We start from the raw sequence: 27422 nt of genomic DNA, 5'->3' as shown, positions 1-27422 counted from the left end.
TCATAGATTCTATTGCTATGTCTTTGAGTTCATTAATCTTTTCTTCTGCAGTGTCTAATCTGTTAATCCTATCCCGTGTATTTAATATATTGTATCTTTCATTTCTAGAAATTTGATTTGGGTCTTTTTTTAATGTCTTTGTGTCTCTCTTTAACATGTTCATGTTTTCTTCTACCTTGGCCATATGGAAGATATTTATACTACCCATTTTAATGTCCTCATTTATTAATTCTATCAGTCGTGTCACTTTTGGATATGTTTCTATTAACTGATTTCTTTCTCTTCACAAATGTATGATATTTTCCTGCTTCTTTGCCCATCTGGTTATTTTTGATGGGATGCTAGACACTGAATTTTACCTCATTGGAAGCTGGTATTTTGTGTTTCTTTAAATATTCTTGAGCTTTGTACTTGAGTATAGTTAAGTTACTTTGAAATAGGCAGAATTTGTACACAGAATCTGGGGCTGTTTCTTTTAGACTGTCTCCAAGGTTCCTGTCTCACTTTCTAGTGACAGTGGTTGTTCTGAACTCTGTCCTTTCTGTAGGCCCACAAGATTGTGAGTTCTCTTGTACTTTGATCTGCCTATGGCCTGCTCTTAGGCTTAAAGGTGTTGACTCTTCTCCAAGATCTGCCTGCAGATTTTGTTTATTCTGCATTCCCTTTACGTTGTTGAGTTTTGTATTTTTTCTAGAGTTTATAGTTGTTATTTGTGGAAGGGTCAGGTCAGTCTGTAGGAACTTACTTGGACATTTCAAAGGATAATTCCCGAAAGGTCGTTTTGCACGTAATTTTTTAATGAAAAATTCTCATGAAGCCAATTAAATAACAAAGGGATATTTTTTTCCCCCAGGAAAGGTCAGACAAATGAAATTAATGCCTTGGTACAATTGATGACTCAGACCCTGAAACTGGATTCTAAAGAGAGCTGTGAAGATGTCCCGGTAGCAAACCCAGTGTCAGAATTCAAACTTCATCGGAAATATCGGGACACACTGATACTTCATGGGAAGGTTGCAGAAGAGGCAGAGGAAATCCATTTTAAAGAGCTACCTTCAGGTGATCAGCTTATTATTATTTTTTGTTTTTTAGACGGAGTCTCACTCTGTCACCCAGGCTGGAGTGCAGTAGTGTGATCTTGGCTCACTGCAACCTTTGCCTCCCGGGTTCAAGCGATTCTCCTGCTTCAGCCTCCCAAGTAGCTGGGACTACAGGCATGCACCACCATGCCCGGGTAATTTTTGTATTTTTGGTAGAGGCGGGGTTTCACCATTTGGCCAGGCTGGTATTGAACTCCTGACTTAAGGTGATCCTCCCACCTTGGCCTCCCAAAGTGTTGGGATTACAGGTGTGAGCCACCATGCCTGGCCTAGTTTATTCTTTTACAGCAAACTGGAGAGCATGTGTTTATTGGAGAACTGTGTCAAAACAAGGAACTAATGCCTATAAATTTTTTTGTGTTTTTAAAATTATTTCATTTGCATATCTCCATAAAAGGTATATCCTGTGTTTTGCAACAGAGGTATTCCTGAAAAGTTACATGAAAATTAATTTTTAAAAATAAATAGATAAATGTTTGTGGTTTTTCATGTGACTTTTCTTCAAGTTAGACAGTTGTGGTGTTTTTTAGGTTTAAGAGATGGTAGTGAAGCTTAAGTTCATATGTAAATTTTAAGTCATTAAACCAAACTCTTGTCAGAGGGAAAAAAGAATGTCAGTATAACAAGATTTTTAAAAAAACAGCCCTGCTGGGTACGGTGGCTCATGCCTATACTTTGGGAGGCTGAGGAGGGCAGATTGCTTGAGTCCAAGAGTTTGAGACCAGCCTGGGCAACATGATGAAAACTTGTGTCTACAAAAAATACAAAAATTAGCCAGGCATAGTGGCTCATGCCTGTAGTCCCAGCTACTCAGGCGGCTGAGGTAAGAGGATTTCTTGAACCCAGGAGGTTGAGGCTGCAGTGAGCCATGAGCATGCCACTGCACTCCAGCCTGAGCGACAGAGCAAGATCCTGTCTCAAAAAATCAGATGAAATGAAATAAAAATAAAATAATAAAATAAAATACCAAAAAAAAAAAAAAAAGGCTTGGTGTGGTATCATCATGCCTGTAATCTCATTGCTTTGGGAGGCCAAGGTGGGAGGATTGCTTGAGGCCAGGAGTTCAAGACCAACCGGGACAACATAGACCCCATCACTGCAAAAAATTTAAGAATTAGTTGGACATGGTAGTGCATTCCTGTAGTTCTGGTTACTTGGAAGGCTGAGGCAGGGTGATTGCTTGAGCCCAGGAATTAGAGGCTATAGTGAGCTATGGTCACACTGCACTACATCCCTATGACAGTGCAAGACCCTGTCACTTAAAAAAAAAAAATAGGCCGGGTGCAGTGGCTCATGCCTGTAATCCCAGCACTTTGGGAGGCTGAGGTGGGTGGGTCACGAGGTCAGGAGATCAAGACCATCCTGGCTAACACAGTGAAACCCTGTGTCTACTAAAAATACAAAAAATTAGCTGGGTGTGGTGGTGGGCCCCTGTAGTCCCAAATAGTCGGGAGGCTGAGGCAGGAGAATGGCATGAACCTAGGGGGTGGAGCTTGCAGTGAGCTGAGATCGTGCCACTGCACTCCAGCCTGGGCGACAGAGCAAGACTCCGTCTCAAAAATAAAATAAATAAATAAAATAAAATACAAAATTTTAAAAAATTGCAGTGTTCTTGCTATAGTGGTAAAAGTGTTTATTTTTCCCTTTGTCTTTGTTGTTGCCTTTTAGCTATTATGCCAGGTTCTGAAAAGATCAGGAGACTAGTTGAAGTCTTGAGAACTGATGTAATTCGTGGCCTGGGAGTTCAGCTTTTAGAGCAGGTGTATGATCTTTTGGAGGAGGAGGATGAATTTGATAGAGAGGTGAGTGTCTCATTAACTGTATCAAGATGCTTATGTTATAGAATTTTTTAAACAACCTTTTGAAATATAAATCACACATAACAATTCACTCATCTAAAGTGTATAATTCAGTGGTTTTTAATGTGTTTACAACATTGTACAGTCATTACCACAATCGATATTAGAACATTTTCATTACGCCCCAAGAAGCCCTGCACCTGTTAGCAGTCACTCCCCATGGTCCGCACTGCCAAATCTGAAGTCATGAAGATTTATTTTTATATTTTCTTCTAAGAGTTTTTTTGGTTTCAGCCCTTTTAGGTCTTGGACACTTTTTTTTTTTTAAGGAAAATTTAAACTTTAGCTTGGGCATGGTGGCTCACGCCTGTAATCACAGCACTTTAGGAGGCTGAGGTGGGTGGATCACCTGAGGTCAGGAGTACCAGACCAGCCTGGCCAACGTGGTGAGTGGTGAAAACTCATCTCTACTAAAAATATAAAAATTAGCTGGGCATGGTGCCACGCACCTGTAATCCCAGCGGCAGGGGAGGCTGAGGCAGGAGAATTGTTTGAACCTAGGAGGCGGAGGTTGCAGTGAGCTGAGATTACGCTACTGCACTCTAGCCTGGGTGACAGAGCAAGACTCTGTCTCAAAAAAAATAAACTCTATTACCTATTACCTAAAACATGAGAACTATGTACATTCTAAATCAAAAATTTAGAAATTATAGTGCCAGCAGTTAAATGTGAATCATACTCAAGAATTTCTATATTGGTAGTTTTCTTTTTTTTAAATGAAATTTCATTTTATTCTGATAAAGACTAATGTATGCCTAATCACCTAGTGATAATCCATAAGTTTGGTAATTCACAACATTTTTAGAAAGCACATAATATTAACATTCAAATAAAGCATTATAGAAAGTTTTATAAAGAATGAAGTGCTAGTTGGGCAGGGATGGGTGGGACAAAAAGAAAAGAATGAAGTGTTTACTATAATTCTTTTTTTTTTTTTTTTTATGAGACGGAGTCTCGCTCTGTCACCTAGGCTGGAGTGCAGTGGTGCGATCTCAGCTCACTGTAAGCTCTGCCTCCCTGGTTCACGCCATTCTCCTGCCTCAGCCTCCCGAGTAGCTGGGACTACAGGTGCCCACCACCACGCTTGGCTAATGTTTTGTATTTTTAGTAGAGGCTGGGTTTCACTGTGTCAGCCAGGATGGTCTCGATCTCCTGACCTCATGATCTGCCCACCTCGGCCTCCCAAAGTGCTGGGATTACAGGCGTGAGCCACCAGGCCCGGCCTGCTATAATTATTTTTAAAAACCTTGGTTCATCTTGAAAGATCAATGGATTTTTAAAATATCAGAAGAAAAGGAAAATAAATTCCCCCCCGCCAAAAATACATAAGAACCACTTACTGGCACTTGTATTTTAAGTACCTGGGAAAAAACAGGACAGATTTTTAAAGGCAATTAATAACAGCTGTTACAAGGGCTTGTTTCATTTGATTTAGCACCAAGTAAAATAAGAGTAAATATGCCACGGAAGACATAGTCGGGTTTTTCCTCCACTTCTCATATTGCCCCACTTCTCCTACTAGACCACACAGTACATCAGCAACCATCCTTGTTGCCCCACTAAGGAATCACTTTAGATTCCAATTTTTAAATGGCTGGTCAGATGACACCAGTAGAGTTCTTTCCCCTTAAGATAAGGTGGCAGTGAATGCTAACAGGTATCAATTTATTTGATCAGAAACAAACAACTCCTTCAGGAAATTAACTTACTTTCCTGATCCTTGTTAACTTATCATGTAAATTCTTTTTATTGGCACACCTGTTTACTAATTATGATTGATTGCTATTTTTGGCAAAGGAACATTCCCCAGGCATGCCTGAGCTATTTACTAATGACAAAGTGTGCTTACTTTACATAGTGCCATGGGTTTTCTCTTTTTCTCTTATTTTTGGGAGGGTTGTACAATACCTTGTTATTTATCAGGGCAGATCTCATACATTGGATCAAAAAGAGAAACTGGTAAGTAGATCGTAAAACACATTTCTTAACCTGAGTAACATCTGTAAACACAGACTTTAACTACATTTTGTTGAAAAATTCATTCAACTTTGGTGCTTATCCAAGAACTTATAATGTCCATTTCTGACATAAATAATAACCCTCAGTACATATGTATTTTCAAAAGAAAACAAGTGATCTTAAAGTAATATTTTTATCTATGCTAATTGTTACATTTTTATAGCAAATTGGAAATTCTGAGTAAACTGAAAGTGTGTTTAACACCAAAATAAATTTCGCTCTAACAAATGTTTTAAAAGTTTAGACATCTCTGATGTTTTTGAAGATAACTGGATAAAACACACTAGGTGATTTCAAAAGATGAATCTTAGTATCTATCTCATTTGACACTTCCTTTGTATTCAGAATAAAATTAGTAGAAATAAAAGTAGTATACTTTTCAAAGAATTCATATATACTGGAAGTCTTAGGAAAAGCAGCTTCTAAATGGAAGGCCTAGGAGGTTTGCTCATCTTACTCGTTACATGTATTTCTCCTCATGGAGTAACTGAAGAGCTTTCTGGCTTGTTTGTGGAATTTTAGTTGGTAGGAAAGCATATACACAGGGCCAAATCCTCTTGGTTTCTGTTCTGGAGAATGTTTCCATTACCCCTTTTTTTTTGGTAATATTCTAAGACTGGCTTTGTTTCAGTTCACAAGCCTTTAGTCTCTTGATATCCATCTCTGGTTTATCATCCTCTTGCTGAATGAGAGGCTCCCCAGTCAGATCATCAATGCCAACAGTTTTGGGAGGGTTGAATTCAATGTTGTAGACTTGGCCACTGGTGGGATGAATTGTACTGGTAGTTTTGATTAAACTCTCTACTCCGATATAACTGTTCTTTTTTTTTTTTTTTTTTTTTTGAGACGGAGTCTCGCTGTGTCACCCAGGCTGGGGTGCAGTGGTGCGATCTCAGCTCACCTCCACCTCCCAGGTTCAAGCGATTCTTCTGCCTCAGCCTCCCTAGTAGCTGGGACTACAGGTGTGTGCCACCACACATGGCTAATTTTTGTATTTTTAGTAGGGACAGGGTTTCACCATGTTGGCCAGGATGGTCTCGATCTTTTTTTTTTTTTTGAGTTGGAGTCTCACTCTGTTACCTAGCAGGCTGGAGTGCAGTGGCATGATATTGGCTCACCGCAACCTCCGCCTCCTGGGTTCAAGCAATTCTCCTGCCTCAGCCTCCCGAGCAGCTGGGATTACAGGCACCCGCCACCACACCTGGCTAATTGTTGTATATTTAGTAGAGTAGAGACGGGGTTTCACCATTTTGGCCAGGCTGGTCTTGAACTCCTGACCTCGTGATCCACCCGCCTCGGCCTCCCAAAATGCTGGGATTACAGGCATGAGCCACCGCGCCTGGCCTGTGGTCTCGATCTCTTGACCTTATGATCCACATGCCTTGGCCTCCTCAAGTGCTGGGATTACAGGTGTGAACCACTATGCCTGGCCAACTGTTCTCTCTTTATATATTATTTTTATATATATTATCTTTACATTTGTAAGGTTACCTTTCCGTGTGTGGATCAGTAGATGAGTACTGAGGCTTGAATGCAAACTGAATTCTTTGCCACATTTATTACATTTATAACGTTTGTGACCTATGTGAGTCTTCCAATGTTGTGTTAGCTATGAAGTACGACTGAAGACTTTGCCACATTTTTGCATCTGTAAGGTGTGCAGTGAATTCTCTTCAGTATGAATCTTCCAATGTCATGCAAGGTGTAAATTTTGATTCACCTTGCCACATGAATTACACTTGTAAGGTCTCTCTCCAGTATGAATTATCTGATGGTTGATTAGGTATAACTTGTGTCCGAAGACCTTGCCGCATTCACTATATTTGTAAAGTTTCTCTCCAGTATGGATTAGAAGATGGGCCATAAGTCCTGAATGCTTGCTAAATGCTTTCAACGTTTGTTACATTTGTAAGGCTTCTCTGTACTATGAATTATTTGATGCCGTGCAATTGACCAAAGACCTTGCCACATTCATTACGTGTGTAAGGTTTTTCTGCAGTATGACTTCTCTGTTGAGTGAGGGAAAATTTGTGCCTGAAGTTCTTGTACACTCATTACATTTGTAAGGTTTTTCTCCAGAATGGATTACAAGATGGGCGCTAAGTCCTGAACACTCTTTAAATGCTTTACCACATTCGTTACATTTGCGAGGCCTCTCTCCAGGATGAATTCTTTGATGTTGTGCAAGGTTTGAATTGCTGTTAAACACCTTGTGACAGTCACTACGTTTGTAAGGCTTCTGTCCAGTATGAATTCTCCAGTGATCTGCAAGGTGTGGATTGCAACTAAAGACCTTGCCACATTACTGCATTTGTAAAGTTTATCTGCAGTATGGATTACTTGATGATTAGTAAGACTTGCAGACACTCTAAAAACTTTGCCATCTTAACTACGTCCATAAGATTTTTCCTCTAATGTGTGCTTTGTCGTCTTGTGGGAGTGATGGGAAATCAATGAAATCATTTCTGTATTTATTTAACACTAGAAGAATTTTTTTGAAGTGGTGGAACTGAGGAACTATGGTTTGTAAACTTTTCAATTTGATTACTTCCATAAATTTTCCTTCCAGCTTAAAATAGCTGCAATTCAGGCAGATGTGACTGAAGGTTAATCCAAGTTGATTTTTAATAGGCTCATTTTCTGTATTACTTCCCAATGTACAGCTTCTCCCTGTGTTCACACCTTTGATGCATTCCCTGCCATCTGGATTGTTTGCTATCTTCACCCTGCAGAGTCCAGAGCTCTCGCTTTGTCTCCAACATGGAGATAATGCTCAGGTCAGGAAGACAGATTCCCAGAAAGACCAGGTTCCTGTAGTTCTCCTACATCACTTCCCTGTATAAAGCCCTCTGTGCAGGGTCCAGTTATTTCCACTCCTCCTGAGAGAATTCTGTAGCCACATCCATGAATGTCAAGTGACGCTGAGTAAGAGTCTTTCCTGATTCCTTTTCTTTCCGCTTCTTTCTCTTCTGGGCTTCTTCATCACACAGCCTGACTCATAAGAAATCAATCTGTGGCCGGGTGTGGTGGCTCACGCCTGTAATCCCAACACCTTGGGAGGCCGAGATGGGCGGATCATGAGGTCAGGAGATTGAGACCATCCTGACTTAACACGGTGAAACCCCGTCTCTACTAAAAATACAAAAAAATTAGCCGGGCGCAGTGGCGGGCATCTGTAGTCCCAACTACTTGGGAGGCTGAGGCAGGAGAATGGCATGAACCCAGGAGGCGGAGCTTGCAGTGAGCCAAGATCGCGCCACTGCACTCAGCCTGGGCAACTGAGAGAGACTGTGTCTCAAAAAGAAAAAAAAAGAAATCAATCTGTGAGGCTGGGCGCTGGGTGGCTCATGCCTGTAATCCCAGCATGTGTTAGTCTGTTCTCACACTGCTAATAAAGACATACTTGAGATTGGGTAGTTTATAAAGAAAAGAGGATTAATTGACTCATGGTTCCATATGGCTGGGGAGGCCTTAACAATCATAGCAGATGGTGAAGGGGAAGCAAGACACGTCTTACGTGGCAGCAGGCAAGAGAGTGTGTGCAGGGGGACTGCCCTTCATAAAACCGTCAGATCTCGTGAGACTTACTCACTATCATGAGAACCGCATGGGAAAACCCGTCCCCATGATTCACTTACCTCCCGCCGGGTCCCTCCCACGACACGTGGGGATTATGGGAGATACAATTCAAGATGAGATTTGGGTGGAGACACAGCTAAACCATACTTTCGGAGGACGAGGTGGGCAGATTGCCTGAACTCAGAAGTTTGAGACGGGCCTGGGCAACATGGCAAGACTCCTGTGTGTGCTGCGGCATGACCTTCACTCCACGTGATCCACTTCCAGGTCTCATTGGACACATTTTGAGTTAATTCTTGCGTATGGCATGATGAAGTAAAGCTCCAACTTCATTATGTATGTGGCTCTCCTGTTGTCCCGTCACCATGTGTTGCAAAGACTATTTTCTCACCTTGTTAAAAATCAGTTGACTAGAGACACATGGGCTTATTTCTGGACTCTCATTTCTATTCCGCTGATCTATATATCTATCCTTATGCCACTACCACACTTTGCTTACTGTTACTTTGGAGTAAGGTTTGAAATCAGGAAGGATGAGTCCTCCACTATTATTCTTTCTCAAGATTGTTTTGGTTATTCTGGGTCCCTTGCAATTACATATGAATTTTAGAATTTGTTTGTCAATTTCCACAAAGAAGCCAGCTGTCTTAAAGAAATTGAGAGAAGAAAGAAAAGTATGTTTGTAAATTTTGTTGTTGTAACTCTATCATTTCTGGATCTCTTTATTTGTTCCTTTGGATTCAACTTTCCATGTGGAGTCATTTCCGTAGCCTAATACAGCTTTGCTCCCACTTACCTCCTTTGTTTTGTTATTGGCAAATATATTACATTTCTATATGTTATAGGCTCAACAATATATACATTTTTTTAAATTGTAATAAAATGGAGATAAAATATACCATTTTAGCCATTTTAAAGCATACAGTTCAGTGGTATTAAGTACATTCACATTGTTGTACAACATTCACCACCATCTATCATCAGAACTTTTTTCATGTTGCAAAACTGAAACTCTACACCCATTTAACAATAGTTCCCCATTTCCTGCCCCCACCAGCCCCTGGCAACCACCCATCTACTTTCTGTCTCTCTGAGTTTGACTATCCTAAGCATTTGCACAAAGCTGAGACATAAAATGTTAAACTGGCCCACAAAGAAAGCTCCATGCTCAGATGCTTTACTGGTGAATTCTTCCAACCATCTAAGAAAGAAAGAACACCAATCCTGCATAAAGTCTTCCAGAATACTTTAAGAGGGGATACTTCCCACCTTATCCACAAAACCAGCACAACTCTGACATCAAGACTCAACAAGGACACTACGTGAAAAAATATCAGATCAATATCTCTCATGAACAGAGGTGAAAAAATACTTTAATCATCTGGATTTTGTTAAAGATTTTCGAATGAATGTTCATAAGGGATATTCATATGCATTTCTCTTTTCCTGTAGTGTCCCTGTCTGGCCCCAGCACCAGGGCATTGTCGTCAGCCTCATAAAATGAACCAGGAATTACCCCTTCCTCCTCAACTCTCTGGAAAAGTTTGAGAAGGATTGGCATCATTTCCTCTCCAAAGTGTGGTAGAATCACCAGCAAAGCCATCAGGTCTAGGAACTTTCCTTTTTGGGAGTTTGTTGATGATTGATTCATTCTCCTTACACTAGTTATGGGTCTATTCAGATTTTCTATTTCTTTGTGATTCAGTCTCAGTAGGTTTTATGTTTCTAGGAATGTGTCCATTTCATCTAGGTTTATGCAACTTGTTGGCATACAATTGTTCATAGTTCTCTTACAATTCTTTTTTATTTTATTTATTTATTTTTGAGATAGAGTCTCGCTCTGTCACCAAGCTAGAGTGCCATGGCGCAATTTCAGCTTGCTGCAATCTCTGCCTCCCGGTTTCAAGGGATTCTCCTGCCTCAGGCTCCCGAGTAGCTGGGATTACAGGCACACGCCACCACACCCAGCTAATTTTTGCATTTTTAGTAGAGATGGGGTTTCACCGTGTTGGCCAGGAGGTCTTGATCTCCTGACCTCGTGATCCACCTACCTCGGCTTCCCAAAGTGTTGGGATTACAGGCATGAGCCACCATGCCCACCCAATTCTTTTTATTTCTGTAGAGCTGGTAGTAATGTATCCATTTTAATTTCTTATTTTGGTAATTTGAGTCTTTTTTTTTTTTTTGGCTAGTCAAGTGAAGCAATCTTTTTTTTTTTTTTGAGACACAGAGTCTTGCTCAGCCGCCCAGGCTAGAGTGCAGTGGCATGATCTCGGCTCACTGCAACCACCGTCTCCCGGGTTCAAGCGATTCTCCCATCTCAGCCTCCCAAGTAGCTGGGATTACAGGCAACTGCCATCATGCCTGGCTAATTTTTGTATTTTAGTAGAGATGGGGTTTCACCATGTTGGCCAGTCTGGTCTTGAACTCCTGACCTCAGGTGATCCACCCACCTTGGCCTTCCAAAGTGCTAGGATTACAGGTGTGAGCCACCGTGCCCGCCCTTTTTTTTTAATTTAAAATATTTGAAACAGGCTTTCGCTCCATCCCCCAGGCTGGAGTGCAGTATTGGGGGAACCCACCCCCAATATTTCAACGTAGGTTCTTTCTATTTTCCATAAATGTCGGCCAGCTGAGAAATAAAGAGAAAGAGTACAAAGAGAGGAATTTTTGTACTGGGCCTCTGGGGGTGACATCACATATCAGTAGGACCGTGATGCCCACCTGAGCCTTAAAACCAGCAAGTTTTTATTAAGGATTTCAAAAGGGGAGGGGGTGTACAAGCAGGGAGTAGGTCACAAAGATCACATGCTTCAAAGGGCAAAAGGCAGAACAAATATCACATGCTTCTGAGGAAACAGGACAAAGGCAAAATCAGAACTACTGATAAGGGTCTATGTTCAGCTGTGCACATATTGTCTTGATAAACATCTTAAACAACAGAAATCACAGTTCGAGAGCAGAGAACCGGTCTGACCACAAATTTACCAGGGTGGAGTTTTTTCCCCACCCTAACAAGCCTGAGGGTACTGCAGGAGACCAGGGCATATTTCAGTCCTTATCTCAACCACATAAGACAGACACTCCCAGAGCAGCCGTTTATAGACCTCCCCCCAGGGATGCATTCCTTCCCCAGGGTATTAATTATTAATATTCCTTGCTAGGAAAAGAATTTAGTGATATCTTCCCTACTTGCATGTCTGTTTATAGGCTCTCTGCAAGAAGAAAAATATGGCTCTATTTTGCCCGACCCCTCAGGCAGTCAGACCTTATGGTTGTCTTCCCTTGTTCCCTGAAAATCGCTGTTATTCTGTTCTTTTTCAAGGTGCACTGACTTCATATTGTTCAAACACACATGTTTTACAATCAATTTGTACAGTTAACACAATTATCATGGTAGTCCTGAGGTGACGTACATCCTCATCTTATGAAGATAACAGGATTAAGAGATTAAAGTAAAACAGGGGTAAGAAATTATAAAAGTATTATTTGGGAACTGATAAATGTCCATGAAATCTTCACAATTTATGTTCCTCTGCCATGGCTCCAGTCAGTCCCTCTGTTCAGAGTCCCTGACTTCCTGCAACAGTGCAGTGGCGCAGTTTTGGCTCTCTGTAACCTCTACCTCTAAGGCTCAAGTGATCCTCCCACCTCAGCCTCTAGAATAGCTGGGACTACAGGTGTGGGGCACCACGTGCAGCTAATTATTTTTGTACTTTTTGTAGAGATGGGCTTTCACTGTGTTCCCTAGGCTGGTCTTGAACCCTTGGGCTCAAGTGATCCGCCTGTGTAAGCCTCCTAAAGTACTGGGGTTACAGGTGTGAGCTACCATGCCTGGCACCTTAATTTTTTAAATTTTTTGTAGAAACAAGGTCTGTCTATATTGCCCAGGCTGGTCTGGAACTCCTGACCTCATGCAATCCTCTCATCTATGTCTCCCAAAGTGCTGAGATTACAGTCATTGGCCATTGTGCCCAGCCCAAGATCTTTCTTTTTTAATGTAAGTGTTTACAGCTATAAATTCCCCCCTTAGCACTGCTTTTGCTGAATTCCAAAAGTTTCAGTATATTGTTTTTTATTTTCATTTGTCTCTAAGTATTTTCTAATTTTCCTTTTGATTTCTTCTTTGATCCATTGGTGATTTAAGAGTGTGTTATTTAGACTGGGCACAGTGGCTTATGCCTGTAATCCCAGCACTTCGGGAGGCCGAAGTGGGTGGATCACTTGAGGTCAGGAGTTCACACCAGCCCGTCCAACCTGTGAAACCCTGTCTCTACTAAAAATACAAAAATTAGCCAGTTGTGGTGTTGGGCACCTGTGATCCCAGCTACTCAAGAGGCTGAGGCGGAATTGCTTGAACCTGGGAGGTGGAGGTCGGAGTGAGCCGAGGTCACACTACCACACTCCAGCCTGGGTGACTCCATCTCAAAAACAAAAAGTGTTATTTGGTTCCCACAAATTTGGGAATTTTAGTTTTCCTTGTTACTGATTTCTAACTTCATCCCACTGTGGTTGGAGAAGATATTCTGTGTGCTATCTTTTCTTTAAAATCTATTGAGACAATTTGTGGTCTATAGTATGGTCTGTCCTGGAGAATGACCCATGTGCACTTGAGAAGAATGCATATTCTGTTGTTAGGTAAAGAATTTTAGATGTAGGTCAGGCGCAGTGGCTCACGCCTGTAATCCCAGCATTTTGGGAGGCTGAGGCTGGTGGATCACCCAAGGTCAGGAATTCGAGACCAGCCTGACCAACATGGTGAAACTCTGTCTCTACTAAAAATACAAAATTAGCTGGGCATGGTGGTACACATCTGTAATCTCAGCTACCAGAGAGGCTGAGGCAGGAGAATCGCTTGAACCCGGGAGGCAGAGGTTGTGGTGAGCTAAGATTGAGCCATTGCATTCTAGCCTGGGCAACAAGAGTGAAACTCTGTCTCAGGAAAAAAAAAAAAAAAAAAAAGTTTTAGATGCCTGTTAGATCTAGTTGGTTTACTGCATTGTTCAAGTCCTCTTATTTATTTATTTGAGACGGAGTCTCGCTCTGTCACCCAGGCTGGAGTGCAATGGCGCCATCTCAGCTCACTGCAACCTCCGCCTCCCAGGTACAAGCAGTTCTCTGCCTCAGCCTTCGAGTAGCTGGGACTACAGGCACCTGCCACCACGCCCAGATAATTTTTGTATTTTTAGTAGAGACGGGGTTTCACCATCTTGGCCAGGCAGGTCTTGAACTCCTGACCTTGTGATCCACCCGCCTCAGCCTCCCAAAGTTCTGGGATTACAGGTGTGAGCCACTGTGCCCAGCCAAGTCCTGAATTTTTTTTTTTTTTTTTGAGACGGAGTCTTGCTCTGTTGCCCAGGCTGGAGTGCAGTGGTGTGATCTCAGCTCACTGCAAGCTCTGCCTCCCGGATTCACAGCATTCTCCTGCCTCAGCCTCCCGAGTAGCTGGGACTACAGGTGCCCGCCACCATGCCCAGCTAATTTTTTTGTATTTTTAGAAGAGACAGGGTTTCACCGTGTTAGCCAGGATGGTGTCAATCTCCTGAGCTCGTGATTCACCTGCCTCAGCCTCCTAAAGTGCTGGGATTATAGGCGTGAGCCACTGCGCCCAGCCCCAAGTCCTCTATTTTCTTAATTATCTTCTGCCAGGTTGTTCTATCCATTATTGAGAGTGGGGTATTGAAGTCTGCAACTATTAGTCATGGTTTGTTTTTTACACCTAAAAACAAACCATCAATATCCTCATTTGTACATTTAGGTGCATAAATGTTAATAATTGTTCTAATCTTCTTGCTGTATATGTCTCCTTTTTTGTCTCTTGTAACCTTTTTTTAATTTAAAGACATTTTGTCTGATATTTGTAAGGCCATCCCTAATCTCCTTTGGTTACAATTTATGTGGAATATTTTTTTCAAAATTTTTAATTGCAATTTTTTTGTGTCTTTAGATATAGAGTCTCTTATAGATAGCATATAGGTGGATTCTGGGTTTTTTTAAATCCATTCTGCCAATTTCTATCTTTGGAGAGTTTAATCCATTTACATTTAAAGTAATTATTGATAAGGAGGGACTTATGTTATTTTACTAATTTATGTTCTGTATGCATTATAGTTTTTTAATTGCTTATTTCCTGCATTACTGTCTTCTTTTGTGTTTAGTTGATTTTTTTTGTAGTGAAAAATTTTAACATAATATGTAACATGTCCTGTAACTGTTTTCTCTGTGGTTACCATGGAGATTATATTTAATGTCCTAAAATTATAATACTCTAGTTTGAATTTATGCCAGCTTAACTTCAATAACATACAAAAACTCTACCCTTTTAACAGCTCTGCCCCAAATCCTTCTAGTTATTGATGTCACAAAAGTATATCTTTGTACATTATATGTTTTTTTTTTGTTTTGTTTTGTTTTTTGAGACAGAGTCTTGCTCTGTTGCCCAGGCTGGAGTGCAGTGGCACAGTCTCAGCTCACTGCAAGCTCCGCCTCCCGGGTTCACTCCATTCTCCTGCCTCAGCCTCCCGAGTAGCTGGGACTACAGGTGCCCGCCACCATGCCTGGCTAATTTTTTTTTTGTATTTTTAGTAGAGACGGGGTTTCACCGTGTTAGCCAGGATGGTCTCGATCTCCTGACCTCGTGATCCACCCGCCTCAGCCTCCCAAAGTGCTGGGATTACAGGCGTGAGCCGCAGCGCCCGGCCTGTACATTATATGTTTAAAAACAGGATCTAAAAATTGGTTTTTAAAATGCATTAGTCTCTTAAATTATATGGAAAACAAAACGTGAAATTGCAAACCAAAGTTACAGTAATATTAGCTTTTAGTCTAATTGTTTTGTAATGTATTAGCCTCTTAAATCTTGTAGAAAACAAAAAAAAGAAATTACAAATAATTGTTACAATAATACTAGCTTTTATAGTTGCCCATCTGTTTATCTTTACCAAAGGTATTTCTTTTACAAATATATTTTTTATTGTTAATCAACAAATCATAATTGTACATATTTATAGAGTACAATGTGATGTTCTGATATATGTATACAATGTGTTTTGATTAAATCAAGCTAATCAACATATCTGTCACCTCAAGTATTTATCATTTTCTTGTGATGAGGACATTTGAAATTCTCTTAGCAATTTTGAAATATGTAATACATTATTATTAAATGTAGTCACCATGTTGTGCAATGTATCTCAAAATACTTAACTCCTGCTGTATAACTGAACCTTGTACCCTTTGACCAACACCTGCCCATTCTCCCCACCCTTCGCCTCTGGTAAACACCATTCTCCTGTCTGTTCCTATTAATTTGATTAATCTGACTGTTTTTAGAGATTTTTCTTTCTTCATAAAGCTTCAAGTTATTTATTGTCATAATTTCAACCCACAGAATTCCCTTGAATATTTCTGATAGGGAAGATCTAGTGTTAATCAGATTTATCTGGAAATGTCTTGATTTCTCCCTCACTTTTGAAGGGCATTTTTGCCAGATACAGTATTCTTGGTATTTTTTCTTTTAGCATTTTGAATATATTAGCCCACTGCTTTCTGGCCTCCACAGTTCCTGATGAAAAAACCCGTTGGTAATCTTATCCTTTGTATGTGATAAGTTGCTTCTCTCATGCTGTTTTCAGGATTCTCTCTTTGTCTTTGTCTTTTGACAGTTTTGTGTGTGTGTGTGTGTGTGTGTGTGTGTGTTTTAAGACAAAGTCTCACTGTCCCCAGGGTGGAGTGCGGTGGCGCCATCTTGGCTCACTGCAACCTCTGTCTCCCGGGTTCAAGCAATTTTTGTGACTCAGCCTCCTGTGTAGCTGGGATCACAGGCATGTGGCATCACATGGGGCTAATTTTAGTATTTTTAGTAGAGACAGGGTTTCACCATGTCATCCAGGTTGGTCTTGAACTCCTGACCTCAAGTGATCCACCCGCCGTGGCCTCCCAAAATGCTAGGATAGCAGGTGTGAGCCACTAAGCCTGGCTGTGTCTTTTTACAGTTTGATTATAATGTATTTCAGTGTAGACTCTTGAGTTCATCCTACTTGGAGTTTGTTGAGCCTCTTGGATGTTTATATTTATTTTGTCTTTTAAATATTTGTCTTTCATCAAACTTGTGAATTTTTCAGCTATTATTTCTTCAGATCATTTATCTGATCCCCTCTCTCTCCTCTTTCTCTGGGACTCCCACATTGCTTACGTTGGGCTGCTTGATGGTGTTCTATAGGTCCTTTAAGCTCTGTTCACTTTCTGTAGTCTTTTTTCTTCCTGTTCTTCAGACTTGATACTTTTAATTATCCTATCTTCAAGTTCACTATTTCTTTCTTGTCCTTGCTCAGATCTGCTTTTTCATTGCAGTTATTGTACTTTTCATCTTCAGAATTTCTTTTTTTCAGACCGGGCATGGTGGCTCATGCCTGTAATCCCAGCACTTTGGGAGGCTGAGCCAGGCAGATGACTTAAGGTCAGGAGTTCGACCAGCCTGACCAACATGGTAAAACCCCGTCTACACTAAAAGTACAACAATTAGGCACGGTGGCATGCACCTGTAATTCCAGCTACTCAGGAGGCTGAGACACGAGAATCGCTTGAACCCGGGAGATGGAGGTCACAGGTTCTACTGCCCTTCAGCCTGGGTGATGGAGCAAGACTCCATCTCAAAAAAAAAATTCTTTTTTTCTTTTTATGTCTTTCTCTTTACTGATATTTGTTTTATTTATACATCATTTTATTTTATTTTGAGACAGGGTCTCATTCTATCTGGAGTGCAGTGGTGCAGTGATAGCTCCCTGCAGCCTCAAACTCCTGGGCACAAGTGATCCTCCCGCCTTAGCTTCTCAAGTGGCTGGAACTACAGGCACATGCCACCATACTTAGCTAATTTTAAAATTTTTTTGTAGAGACAGGGTCTCATTATGTTGCCCAGGCTGGTCTCAAACACCTGGTCTCAACTAATCCTCCTGCCTTGACTTCCCAAAGTACTTAGATTTCAGGTGTGAGCCACCATGCCTGGCCACATAATTACATAACTTTCTTTTTCTGAGACAGAGTCTCGCTCTGTCGCTCAGGCTAGAGGGCAATGGAATAGTCATGGCTCACTGCAGCCTGGGCTCAGGTCATCCTCCCACCTCAGCCTCCCAGGTTGCCAGGACTGTAGGAGCATGCCACCACACCCAGCTATTTTTTTTGTACATTTTGTAGAGACGGGGTTTCGCCATGTTACCCAGGCCACTCTCAAACTCCTGGCCTCAAGCAATCTGCCTGCCTCAGCCTCCCAGAGTCCTGTAATTACAGGCGTGAGTCACCGTGCCCGGCCACATCATTTTCTAATAAGTCTGCCATCTGATCTTAGGGACAATTTCTATTGATTTCTTTTGTTTTTTTCCTTTGAATGGTCCATACTTATTTTTTATGTCTTGTGGTTTTTTGTTTTTGTTTTCAAACTGGACATTTGAGTTTTTATCATGTGATAATTTAGGGGTCCTCCATGCCAGTGATGTAGGATTTACTTCTCAGTCACTTTGCAAGCCAGGGACCTCTGGCTGGCCATGCCCCACCCAGGCCTCGCTCAGCCATGCTGGTGTGCCCCAGCTCACTTGTGTTATAGCTTGTACCCACGTTCAGCAGTTTCTGAGCTCTCGGACCTTGCCCAAGAAGAATAAGGATACGCTGGATGTTGAAGGGTGAGGAGGGTGGAGAAGAATTTTATTGAGTGATGAAACAGCTATCAGCAGAGAGGGGATGCGAGGGTGGTCCCCCTACCTTAAGGTGGGGAAGTCCCCCTAATATGGCTGAGTCCAGGGCTTTTTATGGGCTCAGAATAAGGGAGGGGTAGGCTGTAGGTAGTATTAGAAAAGGCAACATTCGATTGGTTAAAAGGCATTATTCAGAAAGTATCAATTGGGAAAGGGCGAGCAAAGAGGAACAGAAGTTCCCACTCTGGATCACAGGTTTCATCCAGGACCAGCAGTCTGGTCTTTCAGCCTTCGGACTGATTTGGCTTGAAGGTGGGGTTTCACTGGGAACCTGCCCCATCTGCCTAGGTATTTGGCCACCTCCTGTCACTATCACCAGGGATTAGTCACAGGTATAAACTTAAGGTCCTTCTCATGTCTGAATCTGTGTTTTCCCCTGGGCATGTACATGCATGGTAACTTTCCAAATTCCCCTGTAAATGTGGTTACTTTTTTTTTTTTTTTTTGAGACAGGGTCTTGCTCTGTCACCCAGGCTGGAGTACAATGGTGTAATCACAGCTCACTGCAGCCTTTGCGTCCTGGACTTAAGCAATTCTCCTGTCCCAGCCTCCTTAGTAGCTTGGACAATAGGCGTGCCCCACCACACTTAGCTAATTAAAAAAAATTTTTTTTTTTGGTAGAGACAGAGTCTCCCTATGTTGCCCAGGCGGGTCTTGAACTCCTGGGCTCAAGCAATTCTCCTGCCTTGGCCTCCCAAAGTTCTGGGATTCTAGGCATAAGCCACCGTGCCCAGTGGCTTTGGAACATCCTGCTCCTTCAATGTATGGCCCCCAAAAGGGGGAAAAGAAAAAAAATAAAGTGGGGAGAAATAAAGGCACCAGCCTTTTAAATCCCCAGGAAGTCACTTCAGCTAGAGGGAGGGAGGTTTGCAACAGTGTCAGTGATGGTTGCAACATTGGTTTCCTGCTTCTATATCTGTACTTCAGTGATCAGAAGCAGCAATCAGCTATCAGTACAGAGATCCCTGATACTTGGAGGACTGGTTTCTTATTGCCTACCCTGGTTCTTGCAAGCAGCATGCAAGCTGCTTCAGGAACAGCATGACTGTCTCCACTGGGTGCAGAGTGCTTGGGGCTGAAGTGAACCACAATTTAGCTTCTAAGACTTCCGCCAGATGTTTCCAGCCTTCAAGAGAATCCAGAGTTTTTAAATAGTTACGTAAAAGAGATTCTGTCAGTACAATTTCTGGTTGAGTGAAGAGATACAATTTTTGCTTGAGTGAGGAGATGAATTCCTGATGCTTCTTACTCTGCCATCTTCTATAGTATTGTTTCATACAGTAGCTTTTCAGATTAGTTAAGGAGAGGCAAAATGTGTTTGTATTGTGTTTTATAATTACCTTTACCAGCACTCTTGTGTTTTCACATTGCTTTGAGTTATTGTGTAGGGTCTCATCCTTTTAGCTTGATGAACTTCACTTCGTTTTCCTGTAATGTGGGTCTGCTAGCCACACATTCTCTGCTTTTGTTTATCTGGGAATTTCCTTATTTCACTTTTATTTTTGAATGATAGATTTGCTAGATATGGAATTCTTGTTTGACAGTTTTTTGGAGCACTTCAAATGTTATCCTTCTGCCTTCTAGCCTCCATTGTTTATGAGGAGATGTTAGCTGTGAATGTTATTGGTGTTGCCTTCTGATGAGTTATTTTCATCTTGCTGCTTTCAAGGTTTTCTCTGTTTTTGACTTTCAGCACTTTAACCTTAATGTGTCTGTCTGTGGATCTCTTTGAGTTTATCCTACTTGGAAGTTCATTTAGCTTCTTGGACATGTAGATCAATGTTTTTCAATAAATTTGTAAAGTATTCAGGCATTATTTCTTAAAATTTTTTTTTTCTGCTTCTTTCTTTTTTTTGAGACAGAGTCTTGCTCTGTCACCCAGGCTGGAGTGCAGTGGTGCGATCTCAGCTCACTACAACCTCCATCTCCTGGGTTCTTGGCATGGTGGTGTGTGTCTGTAGTCCTAGCTGTCTGTAGTCCTAGCTACTCATCTGCTTCAGCCTCCCAAGTACCCAGAACTACAGGCATATGCCACCACGCCCAGCTAATTTTTGTATTTTTAGTAGAGACGGGGGTTCACCATGTTGGCCAAGCAGGTCTTTTACTTCTGACCTCAAGTGATTCGCCCACCTCGGCCTCCCAAAGTGCTGGGATTACAGGTGTGAGCCACCAAGCCTGGACTTTTTTCTGCTCCTGTCTCTCCTCTTCTGGTGTTTTCTTTATACATATTTGGTGCAGTTAATGGTGCCCTTCATTTCTCTGAGTCTCTGTTCATTTTTCATTTTAGCTTTTTCTCCATTATTTGGATTGCATAATTTCTGTTGGTCTGTCCCCAAGCTTGCTAATTGTTCTGCCAGTGTAAGTATGCTGTTGAGCCCCTCTAGTGAATTTTTCTTTTCAGTTATTGTACTTTTTAGCTCTAGAATTTCCATTTGGGTCTTTAAATTAATAATTTTTTTCTGTTTCTTAATATTCTCTATTTGATATGACACTGTCATTATACCTTTCTTTACTTTTTAAATTATGGTTTCCTTTTTGTTCTTTGAACATATTTATAATGGCTACTTTGAAATCTTTTTTTTTTTTTTTCTTTTTTTTTGAGACAGAGTCTCACTCTGTCACCCAGGCTGGAGTGCAGTGGCGTGATCTTCGCTCACTACAACCTACGCCTCCCAGGTTCAAGCGATTCTCCTGCCTCAGCCTTCCGAGTAACTGGGACTACAGGTGCGTGTCACCATACCTGGCTAATTTTGTATTTTTAGTAGAGACGGGGTTTCACCATATTGGTCAGGCTGGTCTTGTACTCCAATGTCAGTATCTGAGATTTTTTTCTGACCCCAAGAGGCCTCCTCCCAGCTTTGTAATCGTCTCTGCAAACTAGCCCACCCTATAGTTTAGTTTACATCTCCAATGAATTGGCTTATCTCCTCCCAGTTGCCTTTCTACTGCTGTATCTAAAACACAGGTTCAGTTGCTTGCTGCTTGCAGAGTCCAATTAACAAGAGCAAGGTCTGGTATAAAGTGACTTTTTATTCCAAAGCTTAGCTTAGTGGAAGTAGAGGCTTTCTGCCTTTAAGAGTACTCCTCCTTTGGAGCAGAAAGCAAGCACTTTTAAAGGGGGTGTAGGCCAGGCGCGATGGCTCATCCCTGTATGCCCAGCACTTTGGGAAGCCAAGGCGGGCAGATCACCTGAGGTTGGGAGTTCGAGACCAGCTTGACCAACATGGAGAAACCCTGTGTCTACTAAAAATACAAAATTAGCCAGGCGTGGTGGGGCATGCCTATTATCCCAGCTACTTGGGAGGCTGAGGCAGGAGAATCACTTGAGCCCAGGAGGCGGAAGTCACGGTCGGTGAGCCGAGATTGTGCCATTGCACTCCAGCCTGGGCAACGAGAGCGGAACTCCGTCTCAAAAAAAAGGGCCTAACATGAATGGGACATGGCGGGTTGCGGGGAAGCGAGCAGTTGTAGGGGTCTGCGTGCTAGCTTGGTGGCTTATCTACCAGGTGATCAAGGTGGTGACTGCTGGTTTCTTTGTGGGCAGGCATTGGGTTGTGAATCTACTGTTATCTCTCGAGACAACCTCCTAGTGGGTAAGAGTTCTGCTCTGGAGCTTCTAAGCACGTAGTTGAACTATCCCTGTAGGGATTGTCTGATGAAGAGAAGGTAAAAGGCTATAATTGTATTTCTTTTTTTTTTTTTTTTTTTTGAGACGGAGTCTTACTCTGTCGCCCAGGCTGGAGTGCAGTGGCATGATCTCGGCTCACTGCAACCTCCACCTCCCGGGTTCAAGCGATTCTCCTGCCTCATCCTACCGAGTAGCTGGGATTACTGGCGTCTGCCACCATGCCCGGCTAATTTTTGTATTTTTAATAGAGACAGTGTTTCACCATGTTGGCCAGGCTGGTCTCAAACTCCTGACCTTAGGTGATCAACCTGCCTCGGCCTCCCAGAGAGTGCTGGGATTACAGGCATGAGCCACCATGCCCAGCCTATAATTGTATTTCTAAAGAGCTAAGTAGGAAGTGGGAAAAAGGAGGAAAAGAAGAGAGAGAAAACAAAGAATTTAAAAATAATTAAATAATTGAGGCCAGGTGCAGTAGCTCACGCCTGTGATCCCAGAACCTTGGGAGACTGAGGTGGGCAGATCACTTGAGGTCAAGAGTTTGAGACCAGCCTGGCCAACATGATGAAACCCCGTCTCTACTAAAAATACAAAAATTAGCCTGGTGTGGTGGCATACGCCTGTAATCCCAGCTACTCGGGAGGCTGAGGCATGAGAATTGCTTGAACCCAGGGAGGGGGCAGAGGTTGCAGTGAGCTGAGATTGTGCCACTGCACTCCAGCCTGGATGACAGAGAGAGACTCTGTCTCAAAGAATAATAATAATAATAATAATTTAATTAAAGTGGAGGTACTCAGTTACACTTCCACTCTTTTTGAAAGCACTCTGAGGCTTTAACTCCATATTCTGTTGCAAATGAAGTCAGTTCATTTAGGAAGAGATTTGGTGCTCTGTTTTATGGCCTGTTTCTATTCCCAAGCAAAGTTTGTGAGCATGGCTATGGAGCTGTGGGTGGAGACAATGGCACTCTTCCGAGTGATACCCCCACTTTAGAAACTTAGCACCCGGTTTTGGAGGGAGATGGGGCAGTAGCCTCTCATCTTCTTGGCATACTTGGCATACTTCTTGGCATTTCACTAACATGGAATCTTCACTTTATGGTCTGGGGAAGAGGTGATTTGGGGCCCCATAATTTTTTTTTTTTTTTTTTGAGATGGAGTCTTGCTTTGTCACCCAGGCTGTAGTGCAGAGGTGCGATCTCAGCTCACTGCAACCTCTGCCTGCTGGATTCAAGTGATTCTCCTACCTCAGCCTCCCAAGTAGCTGGGATTATAGGCACTCACCACCACACCCAGCCAATTTTGTATTTTTAGTAGAGATGCGGTTTCACCATGTTGGCCAGGCTGGGTCTCAAACTCCTGACCTCAAGTGATCCACCCACCTCGGTCTCCCAAAGTACTGGGATTACAGGTGTGAGCCAACACACCTGGCCTGGGCCCCATAATTTTTAGCAGTCCTGTACCCAAAGTAGAACCTACATCCTAGTACCCTGGGCTAGGTGGAAGAAGGGAGCTCCCACTTCTTGCCTGCACCCTCCTGAAATATAGCCTCAACAACAGGCAGCAGGATGAGATCTGCCAATGGCCTGCCCTCCCAAGAAGATAACCGTTGAACTGGAAGTTGCAGGGAAACAAAGGCCTGTGTTCTTGCCTTCACTGGCCTGGAGTAGAATTTTTGTCTCACTTAGGCGGGATGGAGAAAGGTGGCAGTTGGTCATGATTCGCATACCACTGACTCTTACCATTCTTACCAAAGTCTAGATTTTCTCAAATAAATGTTTCTTCTGTCAAAAGACAAAATTATAACACATTTTGTTTAAAGATCTCAATTGGGTTTATTGTGATTCTAGCATTGGGCAACACTTCCTTCTATAAAATAGAATAAGTGTTCTAATGAGTGAAGCAGAGGAGATTGGCTTTATAGACAGAAAAGGGGTTGGATAAAGAAGAAAAAAAGAACAAAAAGTGGATTGGTCTCAGTTAATAGGGTTGCTCCAGAAAAAAAGTGGATTGGTCATTTTAGGGTGGGGACAGGGAGATAGAATAATGGAAAAATAAGCTGATTGGTTAACATCAGGTTACTTCAGATGAAAGATTAAAACAGAGAGAGCTTCATACGACGTCAGTTGAAACTGGCCTCTTTGGGAAATTCATTCTCTCGATTTCTTGACAGCTCAATTTCGGTTTGGTGAGCATGAGTGACTCCTTTATAATTTTTAGTCTGGACAGTTGGGCCTGGTGTTATGAGATCTTTGGGGTGTCACTTTTCCAGCCAGAAACGTCTGTGGCTGATGGCGCCTTTGCCTGAGTTTTACTTGGGCCCACTGGGCTTGTTCTGTCCATGGCCTGGCATTGCACTATATTACCAACCTGTATCCCATGCCTGCCAAGGGAGAGTCAGGCATGGAGCGGCGAGGGGTGTGGGAGTGAGCATGGGGTCCAGCCACTGTGCAGTCAGACACGCTAGTTGCTGCAGCGGGGCGGGCAGCTCCAGGTGCCGGCATGGGTACTGGTCCTCTGCGAAGCTATGGCCAGACCAGGTGCACCTCAAGCAGCTTCCACTGCTGGCACCAGGGGACACTGGGGAAGCTTGGAGATGCCAGGAACCACAGTGCCCCAAAGAGGAAGTCACAGCCCTGGCTTGGGGAGCTCCCAGGTCTGGGCTCCTTGAAGGGCCACAGCTCTTCTCTCCTCTTCACATGCAACGTGGTGAGAAAGGGGCATGTTTCAGCTCCTAACATGTTTGTTTACAGTTCTTTTAGCCTCACCATTCATGGGTCTCGAATTCTTGTCCTGTGACCAGGAAGGGGTATGTGGACAAATACAGGGTAAGCAAGAGGAAGAGGAGTTTCTTTGAGAGAACAGCTCAGGCTGGACGTGGTAGCTCACGCCTGTAATCCCAGCACTTTGGGAGGCCGAGGTGGGTGGATCATGAGGTCAGGAGTTCAAGACCAGCCTGGCCAACATGGTGAAACCCTGTCTCTACTAAAAATACCAAAAAAAATTAGCTGGGCCTGATGGCATGTGCCTGTAATCCCAGCTACTGGGCAGGCTGAGGCAAGAGAATCGCTTGAACCCAGGAGGCAGAGGTTGCAGTGAGCCATGATCGTGCCACTGCACTCCAGCCTGGGTGACAGAGCAAGGCTCCGTCTCAGAAAAAGAGAGAGAACAGCTCAGAGGAGATCCGCAGGGGGCACCTCCTTTCCATAGACAGGGTGTCTCGTGGAGTATTTAGCCCCGCTCATCTTGATGAGTATTGAGCTCTCAGCAGAGGGTAGCTCCTCTCTGCAGCTGGCCGTCCCATTGTCTGTTCTGCTCTGGCTGAGCCCAGGGCTTTTAGGGGACTTAAACGGCAGGAAGTACCTGCTGATTTGTCCATGGGTAGGCCCAGAAAAGGCACCACAAGTTCCCACTCTGGTCTATGGGACTAGCAGCCTGGTACCCGGCCTTTGCTCCCTCCCTGGCCGGAAGGTGGGGCCTCACCGGGGACCCGCCCCCTTCTGCCCAGTAGCCTGTCTGCCTCCTGCCCGGGGCCCAGGCTGTTCATGCCACGGTACACGTGCAGGCCAGTGCCAAGCTGCCCTCCACTCCCCCTCAGCTTACTTTCCCCATCCTGCGCTTGTTAGAGCCCAAAGTCCGGAGGGGGACAAAGTGGCAGGGGGCTGGTGTGTCATTGCTGCCCCAAACATGCGCACACCTGGCCAGGCTTTGACCGCGCCTGGGCTTACCCCGCTCTGAGATTGGAGCTGGGGGTGGGGGTAATAGGGAGAGGCCAGGCAGTGGGAACAGACACCCCCGAGCCTGCGGGGGCAGTTGGGGCCGCTCGGGCCTGGCTCTGCCTTGGGGCACCTCTCTGCCTGCCCCTTTGCGCCCGACCACGCTGCTCCCCCAGCGGCAGGTGACAGCCTGGCCCCATCCTAGCAACCTCCAGGGCAGTGGGCTCTGGGCGGGGCTCCCAGGGGCGGGCTCTGGGGACTGTCTGCTTCCTCCCCTTGCCCTCCCCACAGCTGAAGCAGGTGTCCGGAGTGGTGGAGGGTCCGGGCCTGGGGGCGGGTCCCGACCATGCGAAGGTGGGCGTGGCCTGGTCAGCTGCTTCAGGGGCGCGGGGCACAGGTTCCAGTGGTGCCACTGCTCTTCTGCAGCTGCTCCTGCCATCACCGCTCACACCTCCCTTCTGCTGCCAGCGCGATGGTAGCGGCTGCTCCGGATGGCCCGTGACTGCCATCAGTAGTGCAGGAGTTTAGTCCAAAACAATGGCCTCCTATAATTTTTATTTAAAAATTCGAATGTCATTTTCTCTTAGCACCGTTTCCAGAGACTTTGTTTTTTTGAGTTGCTCTGTAGCCCGGGCTGGAGTGCAGTGGCATGATCACGGCTCACTGCAGTCTCTGCCTCACCAGCTCAAGTCATTCTCCCACCTCAGCCTCCCAAGTACCTAGGACTACAGGTGCACACCACCACACCTGGCTAATTTTTTGTAGTCTTTGTAGAGACAAAGTTTCACCATGTTGCCTAAGCTGGTCTTGAACTCCTGAGCTCAAGGGATCAGCCCGCTTTGGCCTTGCAAAGTGCTGGAATTACAGATGTGAGCCATGGTACCTGGCCACTGAGGGTGGTGGGAGGTTTACAGAGCTCCTTATGGTGTCATGCTGGATGTGGAACCAAACAGGATTACATTTTATATTTAATTATGTCTTTTTAAATTTGAAACATTTCCTCACTTTGTTTTTCCTGACTTTGACTTTTTTTTTTTTTTTTTTTTTGAGAGGGAGTTTTGCTCTTGTTGCCCAGGCTAGAGTGCAATGGTGCAATCTTGGCTCACCGCAACCTCCGCCTCGCGGGTTCAAGCGATTCTTCCGCCTCAGCCTCCTGAGTAGCTGGGATTACAGGCATGCGCCACCATGCCCGGCTAATTTTGTATTTTTAGTAGAGACAGGGTTTCTCCATGTTGGTCAGGCTGGTCTCGAACTCCCGACCTCAGGTGATCCGCCTGCCTCGGCCTCCCAAAGTGCTGGGATTACAGGCGTGAGCTACTATGCCTGGCTGACTTTGACATTTTTGAGGAATAGGGGCCATATGTTTATTTTATTTTTTGCAGCATAGAATAATTTATTGCAAAAGAAAAATAATGTTTTGAAAGTTAGTGCAGAATAGGCAGTACACCCTGAGAGAGAGAGGATTCAGGGCAGGCTGCTCATAAGGATGAGACAGCCTAGGCTGTGTGTTTTATTAAATGTCCCTTGGTTTGGATTTTTCCAGTGTTTTCTCATGAATAGATTTAGGTTATACATTTTTGGCAGGAATACCACAGAAGTGATATGCCCTCAGTGCATTGTATCAGGAGGTTCACAGTATCTGTTTAACATACTAGGTGTTATTTTAATTTTGAACAGTTCTTTCCACAAGCATACATTGAATGTCACATAGTACTTTTTTTATTACTGGTCAGGTTGAATTTTATGTATGCTAATGATATGGAAGGGGGACAGGGA

At 43.5% G+C, this 27422-nt stretch overlaps 1 protein-coding gene and 3 pseudogenes across 9 annotated transcripts in view, besides 2 other annotated features; 1 reads left to right on the top strand and 3 right to left on the bottom strand.

Moving 5' to 3' along the window:
- The window catches only part of NEK4 (NIMA related kinase 4), a 62497-nt gene that overhangs the window by 30453 nt on the left and 4622 nt on the right, over nt 1-27422 (top strand). For 4 of the 9 annotated variants that reach the window (NM_001193533.3, NM_001348414.2, NM_001348412.2 and 1 more), the window contains 2 exons: nt 854-1059; nt 2769-2902. In NM_001193533.3, the coding sequence (NP_001180462.1) occupies nt 854-1059; nt 2769-2902 (340 nt within the window). Of the gene's footprint in view, nt 1-853; nt 1060-2768; nt 2995-7641; nt 9456-10009; nt 10883-27422 lie in introns of those variants that run through there. The other 5 variants (XM_017007086.2, XM_017007085.2, XM_047448772.1 and 2 more) reach the window with 4 other exon arrangements.
- LOC100499399 (adenylate kinase 3 pseudogene) lies at nt 3893-5392 on the bottom strand (annotated as a pseudogene).
- On the bottom strand, nt 5475-5753 carry AK3P7 (AK3 pseudogene 7; annotated as a pseudogene).
- On the bottom strand, nt 6411-8109 carry LOC100301990 (zinc finger protein 610 pseudogene; annotated as a pseudogene).
- Nucleotides 7724-8923: an enhancer, noted in NCBI's record as "P300/CBP strongly-dependent group 1 enhancer chr3:52765581-52766780 (GRCh37/hg19 assembly coordinates)". NCBI's record gives its function as "activates an origin of replication core promoter dependent on BRD2, BRD4, P300/CBP, MED14 and CDK7 cofactors, with strong dependence on P300/CBP, by STARR-seq in HCT116 cells {active_cell/tissue: HCT116}" and the evidence as "EXISTENCE:reporter gene assay evidence [ECO:0000049][PMID:35650434]".
- Nucleotides 24550-25137: an enhancer, noted in NCBI's record as "H3K27ac-H3K4me1 hESC enhancer chr3:52749367-52749954 (GRCh37/hg19 assembly coordinates)". NCBI's record gives its function as "activates a minimal SCP1, AML or CMV promoter by ChIP-STARR-seq in naive H9 embryonic stem cells {active_cell/tissue: H9 hESC(naive)}" and the evidence as "EXISTENCE:reporter gene assay evidence [ECO:0000049][PMID:30033119]".

The sequence above is a fragment of the Homo sapiens genome, chromosome 3, assembly GCF_000001405.40.
Source record: "Homo sapiens chromosome 3, GRCh38.p14 Primary Assembly".
Lineage (NCBI taxonomy): Eukaryota > Metazoa > Chordata > Mammalia > Primates > Hominidae > Homo > Homo sapiens.
Note: the sequence above shows the minus strand (reverse complement) of the source record. Positions and strands in the feature narration are given on the sequence as shown.